Raw genomic sequence first — 20,083 nt, 5'->3', positions numbered from 1 at the left:
CATGCTGAGTAGCAATCATTCTATGGTAACAAATTGTCAAATATCATTTTTGTTTGACTAGGATCAGAAAATCTCACCAGGGCAAAAGCTAGACTAGGATTTGTCCACTGCATTTTTCTTTTTTTGGCCTTCCAATGTATGACCCCAGAGCCATGTAATTTTTATTGAAGAGCTGTTTTAGCTCAGGCTCCAAGCTGACCCTATTCTGATTCAGAGAAAATTTAAGGAGACTGGGCCAGTCATTCAAGTACTAATGTTGCATAGTGTTTTCTCAAACCCCAGTAATTTATAAATAAATCTCTTTTGAAGAAACCAGTTTTCATGAATTCCCAGTGATGACAAATGTTACTGTATAAATATAACCATAAAACTAGGTTGAAGTTCCTTATGTATGTAGATGATACACATTCACAAACCCAAAGTAAATTTACAAATTAAATACAAAAATATCTAACAAAACCAAATAAGTTCACATTAACAAGACTTAGTGAGAAAGATGCTGCTCTTTTACTGAAAGTAAATTGTTATTTGCAACATAAATATAATACTGACCCATCTAGTATAGGTTTTTTGAATTTAGTATGCCTGTTACTTGATGACTCAATTCTTTTACTACTTTTCTCTATTAGAATAATTTTGCAACCTCAGATAGCATTTCCGCTACTCTTCGTGAGCTACCTGGTGGTAGCCTCTCATTCCTGAGGGGTCAGAGCTGCTGGTAATCATATTCCTCTCAGGCTAGGGTTACCGCACTTCTCTCTTCATAGTCATAATTGGAGAAGAGAGAAACCAAAAGGCGCGCCTATGTGGATCCCGAGTTTCACATTTATTCCTCCTTGCTGTGAATGCGTCACAGAACTCTACATCTGCTGCAGATTATGGTCATTTACTTGTGATGCTAAAGTAACTCTTCTTCAAGCCTGCTGCTCCCTAGACACAAAGAGGTGCAAGAGCCCAGGTGGTGTCTGTGGCTTTTAGTTCAAGAGGATCCTTGTTGTGTCCCCTGGCAAGAGTGTGCTACCTACAGAGCCCAGGGTTGAGAGGATGGAAAGCCTCAAAGTTCCCCAGTAGGTCATTGGGAATAATGGAAATTGAGGCCATTTCTTTTTCCACACTTGGTTTCTGAACCCTTGTATTCTTTTCTATTTGGGACACAGAACTATGTAAAGATCTCTGACTCAAAACCAATATTGTGTCCTAGAAAAATGGTGCCTCATTCTAAAGGACATTGCCTACAAGCTGATGCTTCAGCTGTGCCTTGAGAAGGCCATTTCATTATGTTATCTGGCCGACAGCTTCTGAGTGGCAAGTTATGTGATATGGCCAGTATATCTCATGCTTATTGTCCCATCCCTGTACTTCCTTTGCTATAAAGTGGGTTTCCTGGTCAGATGCTGTGTTGTGTGAGATTTTATGCCTATAGATCAGGGATAGTGGTTCTGGTTGAGTCTTTGAGGACAGAAAAACAAATTCACAGGTGTCTATCTATTCTTATGAAAAAGAATTGCTTGCCTTTCTGGATGGAAGGTGTCCAATATACTCAACTTGCTGCCAAGTAGCCAGTTGGTCCCCTCAAAGGCTAGTACCATATTAGGGACTCAGCTTTGCTCTCTGTTGTTGGCAGGTAAGACATTCAGAGGTAGTCATGGGAATCTATGGTGTAGGACCCATGCATAGCCTCCATCTTGACTACCCTGACTACTTGTCGCTAGAGCTATTAGCCAGCACTGGAGTGGCTGCTGAGAGTCAGGCTACCACCAATCAGTCAATTCATTTTGCTTAAGTTGTGTAGTCCCTTTTCCACAGTGGGCTTTCCAGTGGTTGTTAATGTGCTACCAAGATATTTACTCTTTGTACCCATTCCCGTGTCTATCCATATAGGTTTTCATGGATGACTCCTAGTACAAAATATTGAGTTTTCCAGAAAGCAGATGCTGAGATGGAGTTAGAAATTTAAAGGTTTATTGGGGAGTAACATTTCTGAAAGAAAAGTGGAAGGAAGAGGATTGGGCAGGGGAACCATCAGTTGATGATGCAGAGCTGACAACAAGTCTCTGTCCAGTGGGTAGTTTGGAGCAAAGACTACCCAAAGTCCAGTGGGTAATGTGGGGCAAAGACTGTCTGTTAGAGGAGACCTGGATTGTGTGGACATGGTTAGGCCTTGAACCTTGCTCCACCATCACTGCCTTCCTGAGGAGTTTGACTGTCTTGAAACCTGAGATGGACCCTGATGAAGCCAATAGTCAAGCTCTGTCAGCTCATCACATTATTTGCAGCTGAATGATGGGTCATTTGTTGAAAGGCGTGAGGTCTAAGCAGTGCTTCTCAGTGTCTGACACAATTAGACATTGGAAAACTGGGTCTGGGGCTTAGATGATTTGTCCAGGCCAAAGATATAAATTTGCAATCCATCTGTGTGTAAGGATGGGTGTAATAGGCAGTTTGAAACCACTGTGTGAATGTGAAATTTCCTAGAAACAAAGTAAGGAGTGAGATGAAGAGACAGCCTAGGACTGATATTGAGGGAACTTCAACATTTAATGGCCAGGTAGAAGAGAATAAGCCTGCAAAGAAGACAGACACAGATGGAGTGGTTAGAAAGGTCGAGGATCACAGGAGAATGTGGAGTCAAAAAATCCAAGGAAAGAGAGTGTAATTGGTCCAAATGTTGAAGGCTTTGAGACATCTGAGGACTGAAAGATATTATTTGAGTTTAGTGACATACAGCTCATTGGTGATGATAGTGATGGGGCAGAAGCCAGATTCTAGGAGTTTGAAAAATGTGTATGGGAGGTATAGAGGTAGAAATAGGAAGCATATATAAATCTTTTGAGAAGCATAGATTTTAAAGACAAATTTTAATGATATATTTTTAAAAGTCCAAATGTATTTGTAACTCTAGATAACCAGGAAAAAATGTGAACAGGAATATAAATTATACTGTTACCTTTAAAGGAGCTGCCTTTTTTCATATTCTATTCTATATTATCTTAGTTACTTTGAAAATTATCCCAGAAGTTAAAATTTTAACTCAAGTGTTTAATTTATTTAAATAAATTGGAAAAAGCAAATACATAAAATAGATGATAAAAACAATAAAGGAAAAGCGTTCTGTTTTAGCAATTTGTACATGGTAGTAAATGTTACTATCTATATGTACCCTTACCTTTCAGGGTAAAAATTAATTAAATGAAACCTTTTTGGAAATACAGACAAACCAATGTGTGGCTATTTAATAGTTCAATATTAAGTGAGACAATTACATTGAGATTAGAACCTTTAGTATATTGGAACAATTAGTACACTAGAAAGATTATTTCCAGGTAAAACAAATGACTAAAAATGAGGCTGAATATAATTAAAAGTAAATGTGTAGGAGACATTTTTGTTGGCTTTTTGTCCTACTTTAGTTTTTTGAAAAAGTGGTAAGGAAAAAATCTCAGACCCCTTAGGGTACAATATGAAGAATGATTTAAAAGTTCAATGATTTACTGATGTCCAGCTGCTTAAATGGCAGTCTTTAATAAAAATAGCATACTTCTAAACAAAATATTTATTTGAAAAGAAATTTTTATCACCTATTATGAAAGAGATATCATTCCAGTTCTTAGACATATAATAAAAGACAGCATGACTCCATAAGTCATCATTGTTTTCAATATAAGCTTGGATTTAATTGTAATAATCCACACTTTGTTGCTGCATCTCACTTTGGGCCTAAGATACTTGCTGGGGACGGAAAGAGGTATATGGACAACCTTACTTGTTTTTGAACAATGGTGGAAATGTACTTACCTGACACAACTAGGACTGATGCTGCTTGGCTAATCAGCAATGTGACTAACAACCTAGAATCTTTTCTTAATATTTTTTCTTTTTATTTACAGAATATCCTTAAATTTAATATGTTATATATGTAATTCAAACTTAAAAAGGTATAGTTAAGGCAAAGGCAGGAGGGTTGCTTGAGGCCAGGAGTTCAAGAGCAGCCTGGGCAACATAGCAAAACCCCATGTCTAAAAAAATTTTTTAAAACCTGTAGTCCCAGCTACTCAGGAGGCTGAGGTAGGAGGATCAAACTTATTGATCCCAAGAGTTTGATATTTCAGCAAGCCATGATCACACCACTATACTGCAGTCTGGGTGACTGGCGAGACCCCCAACTCAAAAATACATATGTGTATATATTTTACATTATATATTACTATATATATATTTACATATATATGTATATAATGTATATACACAATAGTTATCACCTATGCTTCTTTAAAACGGAATGGAAAGTTTAAAATACTTGTGTATTAAACTGGGAGAAAGCTCCTATATTATGGTAATTTTTTTTCACTTATCTTTAGGAGTGCCTGGCTAACACTTAATTCAATGACAGTAATCACTAAAATGATTAAGAGATAGTATGATTCTATTACTTATCCTCTCTAAAACATTTAAGTTAGTTTTTATTAAAACAACTTTAAAAATTATATTTCATTGATTTTTGAGATCTTTATTTGAATTACATATTTATAATAATATGCTCAAATAGAGTAAACAGGTTTGAGCAAACCCAACTGACTTGGTGACAACACACTTTAACTGATGGGCACACAAGTGTGTGGGTGTAAAGCAGAGGAGTATTAGACATGGGTGTTCAGTGTGACAAGGGCCTTAGTAAGTCTGTTTTACAGAAGAAATAGACAGTATCACTTTACCAGCAGGGCAGTTAAGTGGCTGATGGTTGAGAGATATTACTGGAAGTGGCAACTGAGTAAATTCATCATATATAGCCCTGGTATTATAGTTTTGAAACTTTATGTAATATTTAAATTGAAACATTGGGAGGGGGATTTCAGGAATGGTTTTATCAGGGCTCCTCATTCATGAGTGATTATCTTGGCTCTTCCTTCCTCCATATCTTGGCTTCATCTTCAGGCTGACTTCTCTTATGCTAGCAAAACAGCTGCAATTCTAGGCCTCACATTCAAATGTCCTACTGATCAGAAGGATCAAGATTATCTCTTCAATGAGGCTTCAGTAGGAGAATAGTGAAGCTTTCTTCCCAAAAGCCTCCAGCAAACATCTCTTGTTTTATTGGCCTGAATTGGATTATGTGCCCTCTCTGTATTAATTCCTGTGACCAGGTGATGGGGTGGGTGGTTTGGCTTAAACCCATCAGTATATACCAATACTCATGGACTGAATGGGTGGAGGAGGATATTGAAGTGAGAATTGTGGTATACTAAGAGGAGGAAGAAAGAGGAAATGTCCACTATAGGATAAAAAACGAAGGCTATAAGTTATTTAATAAGTTGATTGATTTAATCAAATATCATCTTTGAAATTACAGGCATTATTTTAACACCAGTGGAAATTCATCTAGGACAATTTTCCTTTTATTTTTATTACTGATGTGAAGTAGCATCTGTAGTGTAGTGGAGATAAATTTGTACTTTGGATTGAATGGTTGGAAAGTGTTATGTCACTTAGTATCTCACAGAAGAGCATGGCTGTATGGCAAAGAGCTTGGACTCCAGAGACACCTTCTGGATTCATATCCAAGCTGTATCATGCCCCATGACCTTAGACAAATCTGATACCCTCTCTAAAGCTCCAATTTCTTCAGTCTATAAAACATCAAACATCATAGAGTTGTAAGGATTAAATAAAATAATCCATGTACAGCACTTACTACAGTTTCTGGCTGCACTTAATAAATGTTAACTATTATCACTGCTTTGAACAGAGTGGCCTGCACTCATTATCATCTTACTACCTAGCAGCCTGTGGAGCTCTAGAATGAGGCTTAGTGCTACTTCTTTGGAAGAAGTTTATATTACTTGAAGGCCCTCCTGTGTATTTCTCTAAGTGAACTCATATATTCATCAGTTATTTTTCTTTCTCACACAAGAATAAAAGAAACTATAACTGTATAAAATAATATAATGTTGAGCTATGGAAACTGGGAAGAGATTAACAGATACTATGTATAATTCCATTTATATAAAGTCAGTCTAGGCAAAACCAGTCTACAGTATTAGAAGACAGGATATTGATTAGTCTTGGTGGGTAGGTTTCAGTAACTTGGAGGGTATATGAGGGGGAGACTATTAGGCCAGTGATCATGTTCTATATCTTTATTTCAGTGCTGATTACAAAGTGTGTTCACTTTGTGAAAATTAGTTGTACAGTAATGACTTATCCACTTTTCTCTTTCCCTATTTTTTTTCTATTTATACAAAGGTTAAAAGTGAACACGCCTAATTTCTTTTAAGAGGTAGGTCATTAACTTATGTTCGGAGTAAAGGTTACACAAAGAAAAGCCAATAGCTACCAATTTCTTTGGAGGAAATGTGGCGTTACATGAACAATCTCTCCCATGACCCCTTGGTATTGCAGAGCTGATCACTGAGGTGAGTAATTTATATAGAAGAGACACATCCTGGGAGAGTAGAAATTGAAATAGCAAGTGCTTTTCTTTTGAGGTCCAATATTACTGCACCTCTTTAATGGATTGTGTTAGTTCTGATGGAGGACAAATGACAGAATGTCCTCAAAGTCCCCCAAAGAGAAATTAAACATTAGGGAAGAAGGACATGATCTGATAATCAAGGCTTGGAGGTGCGTAAGTGCAGAGCTGAGTCCGTCACACATCTGTTGTAGAATATGTGGTCCGTGCTGGTTTGAGCCAATCCGTTTATCACATCCTTCTGACCACAGTGATTGTTGCAGACCTATGTGCGTAACTGGATAAGAACAATGATATTTAAGGTGATATTACTGAGCTATCTTGTGAAAAGAAAGGTAAAAAAAATTCTATTCTATGGAAAATGCCAGGGGAGATATCTCTTTTCTCCGAGATGTTGAGGTATAGCTTGAAAGTTGGTTTTATTGTGGTCACCATCAGGAAAACCCTAAAGTCTCCCAGGAAGGCCACTATGTAGACTCTGAGGATAAAGCCTATATTATGCAAGGCAAAATGGAGAGATGGAGAGAAACTGAGTCTTTGATGACATAGATACCCTTATCGTTAAAGCCAATTTGAGCCGGTTTTTCTTTCACATGTAATGATTGTTAATGAATTCAACAGTTAAATTATTTTAAAGGATATAGATATATAGTTTTACCTGATGTCACCTGTATATTAATTTAGGAATGAGAAGGAGCTACTTAAATGAACGGTTTCAATGCCTTAACTCTCATAAATAGTTCTGTTCTCATCGCTCCCTAACTTCCACCTCTTCCTCCTGTTTAATTTTGAAGGACTGCCTGAGATTATTATGTTCTTACATCTAATTTTTCTTATGTGAAATCTACTATACTTCCTTCACATAAGGACTAAGGCAAAAATTTGGTCAATAAAATGTTTGTTGGGTAATAATGATTTTTTTTTTTTTGAGACAGAGTCTCGCTCTATCACCCAGGCTGGAGTGCACTGGCATGATCTCGGCTCACTGCAAGCTCCCCACCTTCTGGGATCAAGTGATTCTCCTGCCTCAGCCTCCCAATTAGCTGGGATTACAGGCACGTGCCACCATGCCTGGCTAATTTTTTGTATTTTTAATAGAGATGGGGTTTCACTGTGTTAGCCAGGATGGTCTCCATCTCCTGACCTCATAATCCACCCGCCTTGGCCTCCCAAAGTCCTGGGATTACAGGCGTAAGCCACCGCACCCAGCCCAATAATGATCTATTTTAAAGTAGACCACAGACTTATTTATTTATTTTTTATTTATTTATTTATTTTGAGATGGAGTCTCGTTCTGTTGCCCAGGCTGGAGTGCAGTGGCGTGATCTCAGCTCACTGCAAGCTCCGCCTCCTGGGTTCATGCCATTCTCCTGCCTCAGCCTCCCGAGTAGCTGGGACTAAAGGCGTCCACCACCACGCCCGGCTGATTTTTTGCATTTTTAGTAGAGACGGGGTTTCACCGGGTTAGCCAGGATGGTCTTGATCTCCTGACCTCGTGATCCGCCCGCCTCAGCCTCCCAAAATGCTGGGATTACAGGCATAAGCCACTGCGCCCAGCCCCAGATTTATTTTTTTTTTAATGACAGGAAGAGATGACTTCCTATAATCACTTCTTAAGTAACCGTATTTTGGAAATCTGTCATCCCTAGATGCAAACTATCAACAGAGACCATGGGAGATGATTTCTGCTGAACAGCATGGAAATCATTAACACTCTGGCTTGTCTCCATTTTTAGGTCAACACTCTCATATCCTCCCCCATTCTATTTCCAGTATGTTCATGTTTTCCCAGAATAGCTATAAAAATCACATAATTAGCCTCCAAATCAGCCATGCTGACACAGCCATTGGCATAAAGTACAGAAAAAATTGATCAACTTATTTCTAAGAAAACATTCCAAAAGAGTCAGGTCTGCTTCAAACCATCAGGGAGAGTTTGATCTGTTCATTAATACTGTGTTTCTGTTATTAATACATGATGACATGACTGAAATCTGTTCCCACACTGACTCCAAGAATGCCTACTCCTGGGTGCAGTAAGCACCCTGCTGGCTCGGGTTTCTGTACACATACCACAGTATGCCCATTGCTAGGCCAAAATAGCTACACCCTTGGAAAAAGTTATAAAATAACATATTTAAAGTAAAAAGTAGTCAATAATCAGGTAGGTGGTATGTGAGCAAAATAGTAGTTTGCCACCCATAATGAAATGAGGTTTTTTTCTTAGAGATTTAAACTACAAAATTAATATATACTGGATGAGCCAGACATAAAAGATTACCCAAGAAGACAGAAAGACTCATAAATAAAAGTAAGACATGATGATAACCTAAATGGTGATTTGTGTGTGTATGTTTGTATTTGTACTTCTGTCTCTATATAAAGTGAATCAATCCAATATTCTCATTTGAAAAATGTAAATAATAATTGTACTTATTTTACAAGGATATTGGAAGGATTAAATGGAATAATGAATGTACATCATTTAGTATAGCACTTGCTGCATTATAAGAGGTCAGTAAGTGTTCACTATGATTAGAGGGAGTGGAAAAGGAAGGAGCGGGCCCAAGAGTAAATAAACAATGCTATCCATTTGCCTTGTTTTCTGCAGAGTTCAAGGCCTCCCGAACAACTGCTCTAAGGGTTTTATATGTTTTAACTCCCTTAATCCTCACAACAGTCCTATAAGTTAGGCACTATTGTTATCTCCATTTGTAAATTAAGAAACAGGCACTAGGCCAGGAGTGGTGGCTTATACCTCTAATCCCAGCAGTTTGGGAAGTCAAGGCAGGTGGATAAGTTGAAGTCAGGAGTTTGAGACCAACCTGATCACCATGGCGAAACCCCGTCTCCACTAAAAATAAACACACACACACACACACACACACACAAAGAAAAAAAAAGAAATAGGCACCAAAAAGTTACTTGAGTGTCCCCAAGATTATAAAGTTGGCAGATGGACGGATATTGGAGCCAGGATGGACCCCAGTCAGCTGGGCATCAGAGTCTGTGTTCCTGATCATTGTCCTGTGCTGTCAGTGTCCATGGAATGTGAGTGTATTCAGAGCAGATTTCAAGGTTTTGATGGTTTCTAAGGGTTCCTACTTTTGGCCCAGAGGCTTTCTTATCTAAAATAGTCATCTCATGGTTCTTGGTTCTGTGAAAGTGTTTATATAATCAAATAAATTTGCATAATTATTGGTTAACAAGAGATCTTGTATTCTTTAATCTTTTCATTTGCTTTAAGACAAACTTTTACTATTCTAGATGGATGAAAATCTTTCATAAAATTTTGTAAAATACTTTTTCTTCATCTACTGAAAAGATCTGTATATTTTCTTCTTTGTTCTGTTAATATGGTGAGTTACACTGATTGATTTTCAAATTTTATAGCAGTCTTACATTTCTCAAACCACATTTGGCTAGGTGTACTGTCCTTTTTATATAGTACTGAATCCTTTTTGTGTGAAAGACAGAAGAATTAGTCTATTTCGTGTATGTTGTTGAATTAATGGACATATCATTTTTTTGTAGTATTCTTTTGTTATTTTTTAAAATATCTTTAGGACCTGTGGTGATATTCTTGCTTTCATTCTTGATGTTTGTTAAACTCTCATGTCAGGAATTGTGATATATTCTTTCTTTCATTTTTGATGTTTGTTAAACTCTCATGTCAGGAATTGTGAAGATTTTACTGTACTTGTCAACTAACAAGTTTGTCTGTCACAGTTTCATAGATACTGGCAGAAAAACATGAAGCCTCCAGGTCAAAGATGAAAGACAGTTTATTACAACAATCACATTAGCAAAAGATGACTATACTTGAAGATGATTATAATAACTGAATTAAAATATTTGTCCGATCATTCCAACCTCTGGCATCTTGGAATTGGCATTTCATGATTGCTTTTTTCTTATGATCCATTTAGATTTACTTGGTTCTTTATATGCCAAGTAACTTTGGATTTTATCACGAAAATTTTGAGTGTTATGTTATGAGCCTTGTGGTCATGTAAAAATCTCCTGGAAATTGTTGGTTTTGTTGTTCTGGTTGCTTTAGTAGATAATCAACCCAGAGACGTTTAGACTACATGTTCTGACTACCTTCTGTAGGCAGTGGTTCAGTTTTTAAAGACTTTACAGCTGTTTGTATCTATCCCATGTGTGTGCCGCTGGGTGCCAGTCTGGGACCTCTGTGGAGTCTACACTCTAGGTCAGTTCTAAAGCCTTCATGTTGCTCTTTTTGGCCTGTCTTGAGCATGTTCATCTTGTGGGTGAGCCTAAGACTTCTGTCAGTTCATACAGAGGTACACAAATTTACAGAATCTTCTTCTTCAGCTCTTCACCTCTTCTGTGATTCCTTCAGCACTTCACCTCTTCTGTGATTTCCCCAGCTTCCAGGCATCTCTTATCCCAGTTCTCTGGCTAGAAAGCTGCAGTTTCTCTCTGAGTTTTAGCCTTCTCACACTGTTGTGCCTTTCCTATAACTGAGTCTTTATTTGCCACACAGTGGCAAGAGGAAAGAGGAATAACCTGACTTTTTGCCACGCCCTTCAGGGGTGGTCAGAGGGCTCTTTCCTGGGTCTTCTGGCTATAGATAAGTGCTTTTTCTGTGGTTTTTTGGCATCTGTATAACCACCATTGTCACTGCCCTCACATGGGGGCTTACTTTGGGGTAGGGCTGGAATAGAGAAAACAATAAATAAATAAATAAACCAAAACCCAGAGATTTCTTCCACACTCTCAGGCATGCTTCTACCCAGTCTTCTGATATAATAAAAATAATACTTCTTTTGGAGATTTTCCTGCCCACACTTGCTGCACAGTTCTAGGATTTGGGCTGCCCTGATGTCTAAGCTGGTAAACTCAATGATGTACGATAGGAGAGTTAGGGTGTAGCAGGCTTAACACCATCTTAAATGGAACCAAGAACTTCTTAAGTTATCTCTTAAATTGAGATATCTCATTCTGTGTAATCTGATACTTTCAATATGACACCATAATAAGGAACCCTAACCATTAGAGTTACTCACTGATATATTTATTCACTAAATACATAAATGCTATTCACTAAATACATAAATGCTTACTTTGTTCTACCCTGAAAAATGTGTTAGAATACATATCTAAATAAGGCCCAATTTCTATCCAAGTTTCTCTTTGTCTGGTACATATGATAGATAAACCAATAATTGTACTACAAAATAAGTGCTATAGTGAGTCTTTTTTTTTTTTTTTTTTTTTTTTTTTTTTAAGAAAGCCCAAGTAGGAAACTTTCTCTCTCAAAGGCTAACCTTGTAGGGTCAAATGTCTCTCTAGTCTTTTTTTCTTCCTCTTATAGTTCCTGTATTAGTCTGTTTTCACACTGCTGATAAACACATACCCAAGCCTGGGAAGAAAAAGAGGTTTAATGGACTTACAGTTCCACGTGGCTGGGGAGACCTCAAAATCATGGTGGAAGGCAAGGAGGAACAAGTCATGTCTTACATGGATGGCAGCTGGCAAACAGAGAGAGAGCTTGTGCAGAGAAACTCCCCTTTTTAAAACCATCAGATCTTGTGAGACTTACTCACTATCATGAGAACAGGACAGGAAAGACCTGCCCCAGTGATTAAATTACTTACCACTGGGTCCCTCTCACAACACGTGGGAATTGTGGGAGTTACAATTCAGGATGAGATTTGAGTGGGGACATAGCCAAACCATATCATTCCACCCTGGCCCCTCCCAAATTTCATGTCCTCACATTTAAAAAACAAATCATGTCTTCCCAACAGTCCTCCAAAGTCTTAACTCACTTCAGCATTAACTCAAAAGTGCACAGTCCAAAGTCTCATCTGACACAAGGCAAGTCCCTTCTGCCTATAAGCCTGTAAAATCAAAAGCAAGTTAGTTACTTCCTAGATACAATTGGGTACAGGCACTGGGTAAATGCAGCTATTCCAAACGGGAGACTAATTGGCCAAAACAAAGTGGTTACAGGCCCCATGCAAGTCCAAAATCCAGCAGGGCACTCAAATCTTAAAGCTTCAAAATGATTTCCTTTGACTCCATGTATTACTTCTGGGTCACACAGATGCAAGAGGTGGGTTCCCACTGTTTTGGGCAACTCCATCCCTGTGGCTTTTCATGGCATGGCCTCACTCCTGGCTGCTTTCATGGGCTGGAGTTGAGTGTCTGTGACCTTTCCAGGTGAACAGTGCAAGCTGTCAGTGGATCTACCGTTCTGGGGTCTGGAGGATGGTGGCCCTCTTCTCACAGCTCCACTAGGCCGCGCCCCAGTAGGGACTCTGTGTGGGGGCTCTGACCCACATTTCCCTTCTGCACTGACCTGGCAGAGGTTCTCCATGAAGGCCCCACCTCTGCAGCAAACTTCTGCCTGGGCACGCAGGCATTTCCATACATCCTCTGAAATCTAGGCGGAGGTTCCCAAACCTCAATTCTTGACTTCTGTGCACTCGCAGGCTCAATACCATGTGGAAGCTGCCAAAGCTTGGGGACTGCACCCTCTGAAGCCATGGCCCAAGCTCTACATTGGCCTCTTTCAGCCATGGCTGGAGTGGCTGGGACACAGGGGACCAACTCCCTAGGCGCCGCACAGCATGGGGACCCTAGGACCTGCCCATGAAACCACTTTTTCCTCCTATGCCTCAAGGCCTGTGATGGGAAAGGCTGCTGTGAAGACCTCTGACATGTCCTGGAGACATTTCCCCCATTAACATTTGGCTCCTCATTACTTATGCAAATTTCTGCAGCCGGCTTGTATTTCTCCTCAGAAAACAGGATTTTCTTTTCTATCTCATTGTCAGGCTGCCAATTTTCTGAACTTGTATGCTTTCCTTCCCTTATAAAACCGAATGGCTTTAAAATCACCTCTTGACTGCTTTGCTGCTTAGAAATTTCTTCCACCAGATACCCTAAACCATCTCTCTCAAGTTCAAAGTTCCACAAATCTCTAGGGCAGGGACAAAATGCTTCCAGTCTCTTTGCTAAAACATAACAAGAGTCACTTTTGTTCCAGTTCCCAATAAGTTCCTCATCTCCATCTGAGACCACCTCAGTCTTATTGTTTATATCACTATCGGCACTTTTGTCAAAGCTACTCAAGAAGTCTCTAGGGAGTTCCAAACTTTTCCACATTTTCCTGCCTTCTTCTGAGCCTTCCAAACTGTTCCAACCTCTGCCTGTTATACAGTTCCAAAGTCGCTTCCACATTTTCAGGTATCTTTTCAGCAGTGCTCCACTCTACTGGTACCAATTTACTGTATTAGTCTATTTTCATGCTGCTAATAAAGACATACCCGAGACTGTGAAGAAAAAGAAGTTTAATGGACTTACAGTTCCACATGGCTAGGGAGGCCTTACAATCATGGTGGAAGGCAAGGAGGAGCTAGTCACATCTTACATGGATGGCGGCAGATAAAGAGAGAGAGACCTTGTGCAGGGAAATTCACCTTTTTAAAACCATCAGATCTCATGAGACTTATTCACTATCAGGAGAACAGCATGGGAAAGACCTACCCCCATGATTCAATTACCTCCTACCAGGTCCCTCCTATGACATGTAAGAATTGTGGGAGTTACAATTTAAGATGAGATTTGGGTGGGGACACAACCTAACCATATCAGTTCCCCATTTTCCTACCTTTTTCTTTAACATAGTCCAGAAGAGTTAATTCTAATGTACAACCAAATGTTTATATTTCACAAAGGAATTTTGAGGCATATATTTTAAGGAAAATTAAAAGTAAATTCTCATTTTACTGGGTTACTTGAGAAGGATATAGAACCTGGATTCATCTTTCCAATCTCTTCTGCTGTCATTACTACCTGAGTCTCAAGATCTTTTCTCTTACCTAGGGATTGACCTTTGCATTACACACATCAAAAATACATTCCCCTTTTCAAGTTTGAGTCAATGCTGAGCTATAGTTGTGAGTTCTATTTTAGCTTCTCTTCAGGACTCCAAATCATCCTTTGTTTTAGTTTTCTACCACTGCTTAACAAATTATCCCTAAAACTTAATGATTTAAAATAAGAAATATTCATTATCTCATATTTTCTATGAGTCTTGACTATGGGTCTTTTGTGAGGCTATTGCTAAGCTGTTGGATAGGGCTGCAATCTCATCTGAGGTTTGGCTGGGGAAAGATGCATTACCAAGCTCCCTTCTGTGGTTGTTGGCAGGATTCACTTCCTCTTGGAATGTTGGCCTTATGTGTCTGTTCTTTATTGGCTGTTGGCCTCCCTCAGTTCCTTGCTATGTGGGCCCTGAACATAGCAAGCTGACTTCTCTCAGAGCAAGTATGCGAGGGAGTGAGAGACAGCATCTAAGATGAAAGCCACAACTTATGAAAACAAATCTCAGAAGTGATATGCCATCACTTTTGCCATATTCTATTTGTAAGAAGCAAGTCACTAAGTCCAGCCCACACTGAAGGGAGGGAGATTATAAACCTTAACTGCCTGGATCAGGCTTTTATTTGCTGTAAGTATGACTTCTCTGTCCTAAGCAATAGGCTATAATATAGCTTTTACATGTTGGCTCAAAGCATTTTGAATTCCATAGACATTGATCTCTGTCCTTTAAATTTTATTTATCTTAGCTGTGAACTACTTCTTTTCCGGCAGTCTAGATTCCGTCAAATTAGATCCGTATTTTAAAGTGTCCTGGAGGAAGTTATGATACACACATATATATATATTAACAAAAATAGCCATCTTCCTAAAGAAATCTTTCTGTATATGTAAGAATGTAAAAGTATGCAAGAATATTTAAGACTCCATATATATATTTGATTAAGACATGCCTTATCTGCCTCTTGTTTGCTTGTTGCTTCTCATTTCCCAATTGCTTTTGGGGGAGGAGCACATTTCTCACAGTGAAAAGTCTTTTATCATTCAGGCCATTTTGGGTATAAGTTTTTAGGACATAAGATTCTTTTAGGGAGCACTCTATGAATTCAAAATTATATAAGCATTTATGTGCTAATGCATATCTAAAGAGTGCTCATCAAAATTATGGCAAGGGCTTTGCTACTATGAAAAATAAATATATATTATTTTTATTATGTGATCTGTACCAATGGAACTATCTCTAATAGAAGAGAATTCACAATCTTAACATTTTAGCATTGTATGAATTAGAATGGAAATACCAATTATAATCTTCTATATATTAGATATGGGGCCCACTTCAGATTTTAATGAATGAAGTATATCTCATATTCTACAAAATGTATTATTTTTCTTTTTCATAGGATTTAATTTTTTTCTCCCATTCTTAAAAATTCTCAATTTAACAAGACTAAATTTGATGTGTCTTCTTTCAACTGTTCAGGCAATAATCTACTTGTTAAAGCTAATTGACCATAATTGTCCGTGTTATCTTCACAGTGTTACAGAAGCACGTGGCACTCATGCTGAGAGCCATATAAGATAAGGGCCTGAACACTTTGTGCTGAGGGGTTTAAGAGTTCGAGATAGACTTTAAAGATAAGAACATTGAAATATAATTGGCTGTACATAGATTATCCAGAAGTGTAAAAATCAATTTCACTTAAGGCCTGAAACAAGATTATATTTGGTATATTTAGGTACCCTTTATCAAAAATTTTATTCATTGAACAAAATGCCTTGAGTATATATATGTATCAGTACTGAACTGAGCATTGTATTATACTTCCTTCAAAGTTCATAGTACCATAAAGAAGATAGGAATAAATGCTAGAAACAGTGCCACTGTTTATACCAACTTATATTCTCTCTATCCTCTAAGGCTTGGCTTACAGTATACCTTCTTTAGGAAGTCTTTCAGATAATTTCTGCTCACAGACTTATTTACTTCCCTTAATATTATTATGTAAAGGTAGTGTGATATACAGCAGTTGTTCTCAAACTTGAGCAGGGATCAGAATCTTAGTGAGGAGGATTTGTTAAAACAGATTCCTGGGCCCTAGCCTCAAAGTTTTTGATTCAGTATGCTTGGGTGGGACTGTATTTGCATTTCTAACAAGTTCCTAGGTGATGCTGATGCTGCTGGTGTGGGGACCACACTTTGAGAACCACTGCTGTATAGAAGTGTAGAAGTCTGGCCTTGGAGCCAGACAGATCCGGATTTGTAGCCCAGTTCCTCTGCTTACAACCTATGTGACACCGAAGCTGTTATTTTTTCCTCTGTAGACCTCAGTTTCCTTATCTGTAAAAAGGAGACAACAATAAGCACCTTATAGATTAGTTTATTAGGATTAAACAAAATAAGACATGTAAACATAAAATACTGGAACTCTTCAGTACTATTTTTGTTATTATATGGTAAATGTTTTTAAAGATTAGTTACTGTTGTTGAAGAATAAAAGGCTAAACAGTAGTCAAGTGACATGTGGAGAAAGTAGAGATTTGTTGACATTCATAGGTCAGACCCAAAGAGAATATTCAGCACTTCCAAGATAGGCATGTGAGCAAGTTACATGGAGAAATGGAGCAATTGCTTATCGTGCAATTGCTTATCGTGCTGTGGTGACTCACTTCTGTGTACATATGACTTCATCCTTAACAAGAAGAATGGATTGTGTTGATGTTAGCATCTGATACAGAGCATCCCTCTTGGGCAGTTTTACTCCAAGTTTCTTGAAGGATTAGTTCTTCCTAATGATCAACTTACATTGTCTGCCTTTATAATATACTACAACATCTGTTCCAATCTGCTGTGATCAAAATGGCAGGGTTTGTTATAGTTTATGTATATGGCGTAAGTCACAACAACTTCATGCAGATAAAACAGGGAGCTGCTTTCCTCATAAGAGCACGGTGGGAACGGCAAATGGTACCTTTGCATGGATCATCATATGAGGTATTTTCACCCATAATTCTTGGCTGGGCTTGGGTAGATGACTGTGTTTCAGGGCCTGTATCCAGGTTAAAGGGGCAGCAACTATGGGAGAAGCTATTTTCATGGCTATGGGAAAGGTAAAATAGAACAAGCAGAAACATACAAGGCATATTAAAGCCTAGGAGTAGAAATAGCATACTGTCACTTCTGCATTCTTTTGACCAAAGCAAGTTACATGAGATGGAAAAATGTAGTCTCCCTGTGATGTCATTAATGCAATCAATTCATCAAAAATTTTAACAAAATAAATAAAGGATCGACATGAACAAAACTATAACATTTTCAATATAAAAATCAAGGTGTGAACAAATTGAAAGGCACACCAAATTCTTGGATAAGATTTAATTATGAAAAAGCTAATTATAGGCCAGGCATGGTGGCTCATGCTAGTAATCCCAGCTTTTTGGGAGGCTGAGACAGGCAGAATGCTTATGCCTGGGAGTTCAAGACCAGCCTGGCCAACATGGTGAAACCCTGTCTCTACAAAAAATACGAAAATTAGCTGTGCATGGTGGCACACACCTATAATCCCAGCCACTCAGGAGGCTGAGACATGAGAATTGCTTGAGCCCAGGAGGCTGAGGTTGCAGTGAGCCTAGGTAACAGAGTGAGACGCTGTCTAAAAAAAAAAGCTAATTATCTCAACTCAATTAATATATTTCTTGCAATTCCAATTAGAATACTAACTTGGATTTGTTTATTAGAACTATATACAATGACTTTAAAGTTCAGCTGGAAGAAAAATATACTCACAAATAGCCAAGAAAAATACATGTATCTAGAAGCAGAATAATGAGGAGGATTTCTCAGATATCAGAACATAAAACCACCATAATCCAGCATGTGGAACTGGCATAGGAGTAGACAAATAGTCCATCCACAACAGGAAAGATGAAAATTTAAGATGTTGACATTATTATTTCAATTTAGGGAAAAAAATGTTTATTTAATAATTGGTGTTGACACAACTGACTGTCCCTTTATAAGAAAAAGAATTGAATTCCTACATCTCACATATTCAAAAGTCAATTTCAGTTAAAAGACTTAAATATAATAATTAAAATAAGAATTTTAGAAAAAATCTAGAAGAATATCTAGCGGAAAGAAAAACCTGAATTTAAAGAATCCTGGAAGATATTTTTAAAGATTAATATATCTGAGAATTTAATACTAAAAATTTTGTATGGCAAAAGGAACTGTAAGCAATGTGCTAACTGACAATTATTAGATTTGGAACAAATATTTGCAAAGCAGATGATGGACCTAGTAAGGGTTTATAACTATAATTAATATACACAGAACTCTTATAAGTTGACCAAAAATCCCAAACAACTTGGTGGAAAAATAAACACAAGATATGAATATGCAGTTCACAAAAGAGCAAATCCAAATAGCCAATAAATATATTAAAAAGAGGCTCTAATGCACTAGAAGTCATAAAAATGAAAACTAAATTAACATTGTCATATTGCTTTGTACCTCCCAGAGTGGCAAATATTAAAAAAAAATTAAGGAATAGCAGCTATTGCAAGCAGAGATAAAGGAACTAGAGTACGGTTGTATCATGCTGGTAAAGAGAATTTTCATAATCCACCTCTTTGGCACCAATGTCACATTTTTCTTCCTGTTTATCTAATTCTCTTACTTTCTTCTCAAAGTTCAGGATCTTTGTTCATGCCTTTCCATCAGGTCTCCTTGTGTTTCCCTAGGGTCAGATGACATGTAAACTGAAATAAAAGTTACTGGTTCCCAACACAATCATATGCAATGATTAAAAAGCAGGAAAAACTGCAGAATAAGCTTCCATTTGGAAAGGGACAGAGTGAAAAACATCCAACTGTCACTGGTCCACAGCAAATATCAAGCCCTGTTGGTCAAGAGTGGCAAGGACTCTCTGTTGTATCAAGGAGGTTGCTGCCAACCCAGCAGACTCTGTTTCTGTTTTCTCAGATATCTGTCTTGTGGGCTGTGTTCCACAGCCTTTCGTACTTTTTGGAGTGCGTGGGTGTAGGGTATGCTCTTTGTCTGCTATATTTCATAACCAGTTTTAACAGTGCACTTTGGCTTGGCATGAATTTGGGGACCTGGAAAATGGCTTTAGGGACCGATCATAGAACCATCCATCCAGTGTGAAGGTTTGGTTGGGGCTGAGGATGTGGGCAAGAGAGTAGGGGATGGAACTAGAAAAGCAAGGAATTTATCTGTTGGTTCTTTTCTTTATCTCATCTCTCACAGGATGTAATCTTCTCCAGACTTGTGAGTTGTATTTGCCTGGTTGCTGCACTGGGGGACCCAGATCCCATGCAGCTCTTCTTCTGAGCTAGAGGGAAGAGCCAGAGCCTTAGTACGGTCCTGTCAGTCTGGCTAGGACACAGGAACTGTGATGGCTCTCATAGTAGGCACAATGGCTGCCATGCCAGAGCCTAGTCCTTACTTCTGGGCTGCTGAGTCAGCCAGTGGTGTTGGGAGATGCTGCCAACAGCGTAGGCAGGTTTGGACACCAATACATCACTGTCCCATGGTGGGGACAGGGAGGCTAAAGCAGACACAGTACCATACACTGCCACTTATTGAGAGGGCTGAGTCTTAACTCTATTTCTCTGAGCCTCTCTGTCATGTATTAACTTTCTGTGCGGTTTCAATATACACCTGTTTGAGGACAAGTGCATTAACTCATTACCTCTGTGGCAGATATTATTCTCCTTTAAAGAAACCCAAGCTAGGGT

The 20,083-nt window shown here is 38.4% G+C and overlaps 1 protein-coding gene across 1 annotated transcript; it reads right to left on the bottom strand.

Annotated features, from left to right (window-relative positions):
* Positions 1–10,233: 10,233 nt before the first annotated feature.
* LOC124901689 (uncharacterized) lies at positions 10,234–19,340 on the bottom strand. Its single transcript, XM_047421158.1, has one exon. It carries the CDS (start codon positions 13,679–13,681, stop codon positions 12,722–12,724), a length of 960 nt encoding a protein of 319 aa, XP_047277114.1. The 5' UTR covers positions 13,682–19,340; the 3' UTR covers positions 10,234–12,721.
* Between the last annotated feature and the right edge of the window lie 743 nt (positions 19,341–20,083).

The sequence above is a fragment of the Homo sapiens genome, chromosome 7 (genome assembly GCF_000001405.40).
Source record: "Homo sapiens chromosome 7, GRCh38.p14 Primary Assembly".
NCBI lineage: Eukaryota > Metazoa > Chordata > Mammalia > Primates > Hominidae > Homo > Homo sapiens.
Note: the sequence above shows the minus strand (reverse complement) of the source record. Positions and strands in the feature narration are given on the sequence as shown.

Coding starts and splice junctions, on each gene's coding strand:
- LOC124901689 (XM_047421158.1), bottom strand. CDS start 13,681: ATGTGGAAGCGACTTTGGAACTGTATAACAGGCAGAGGTTGGAACAGT.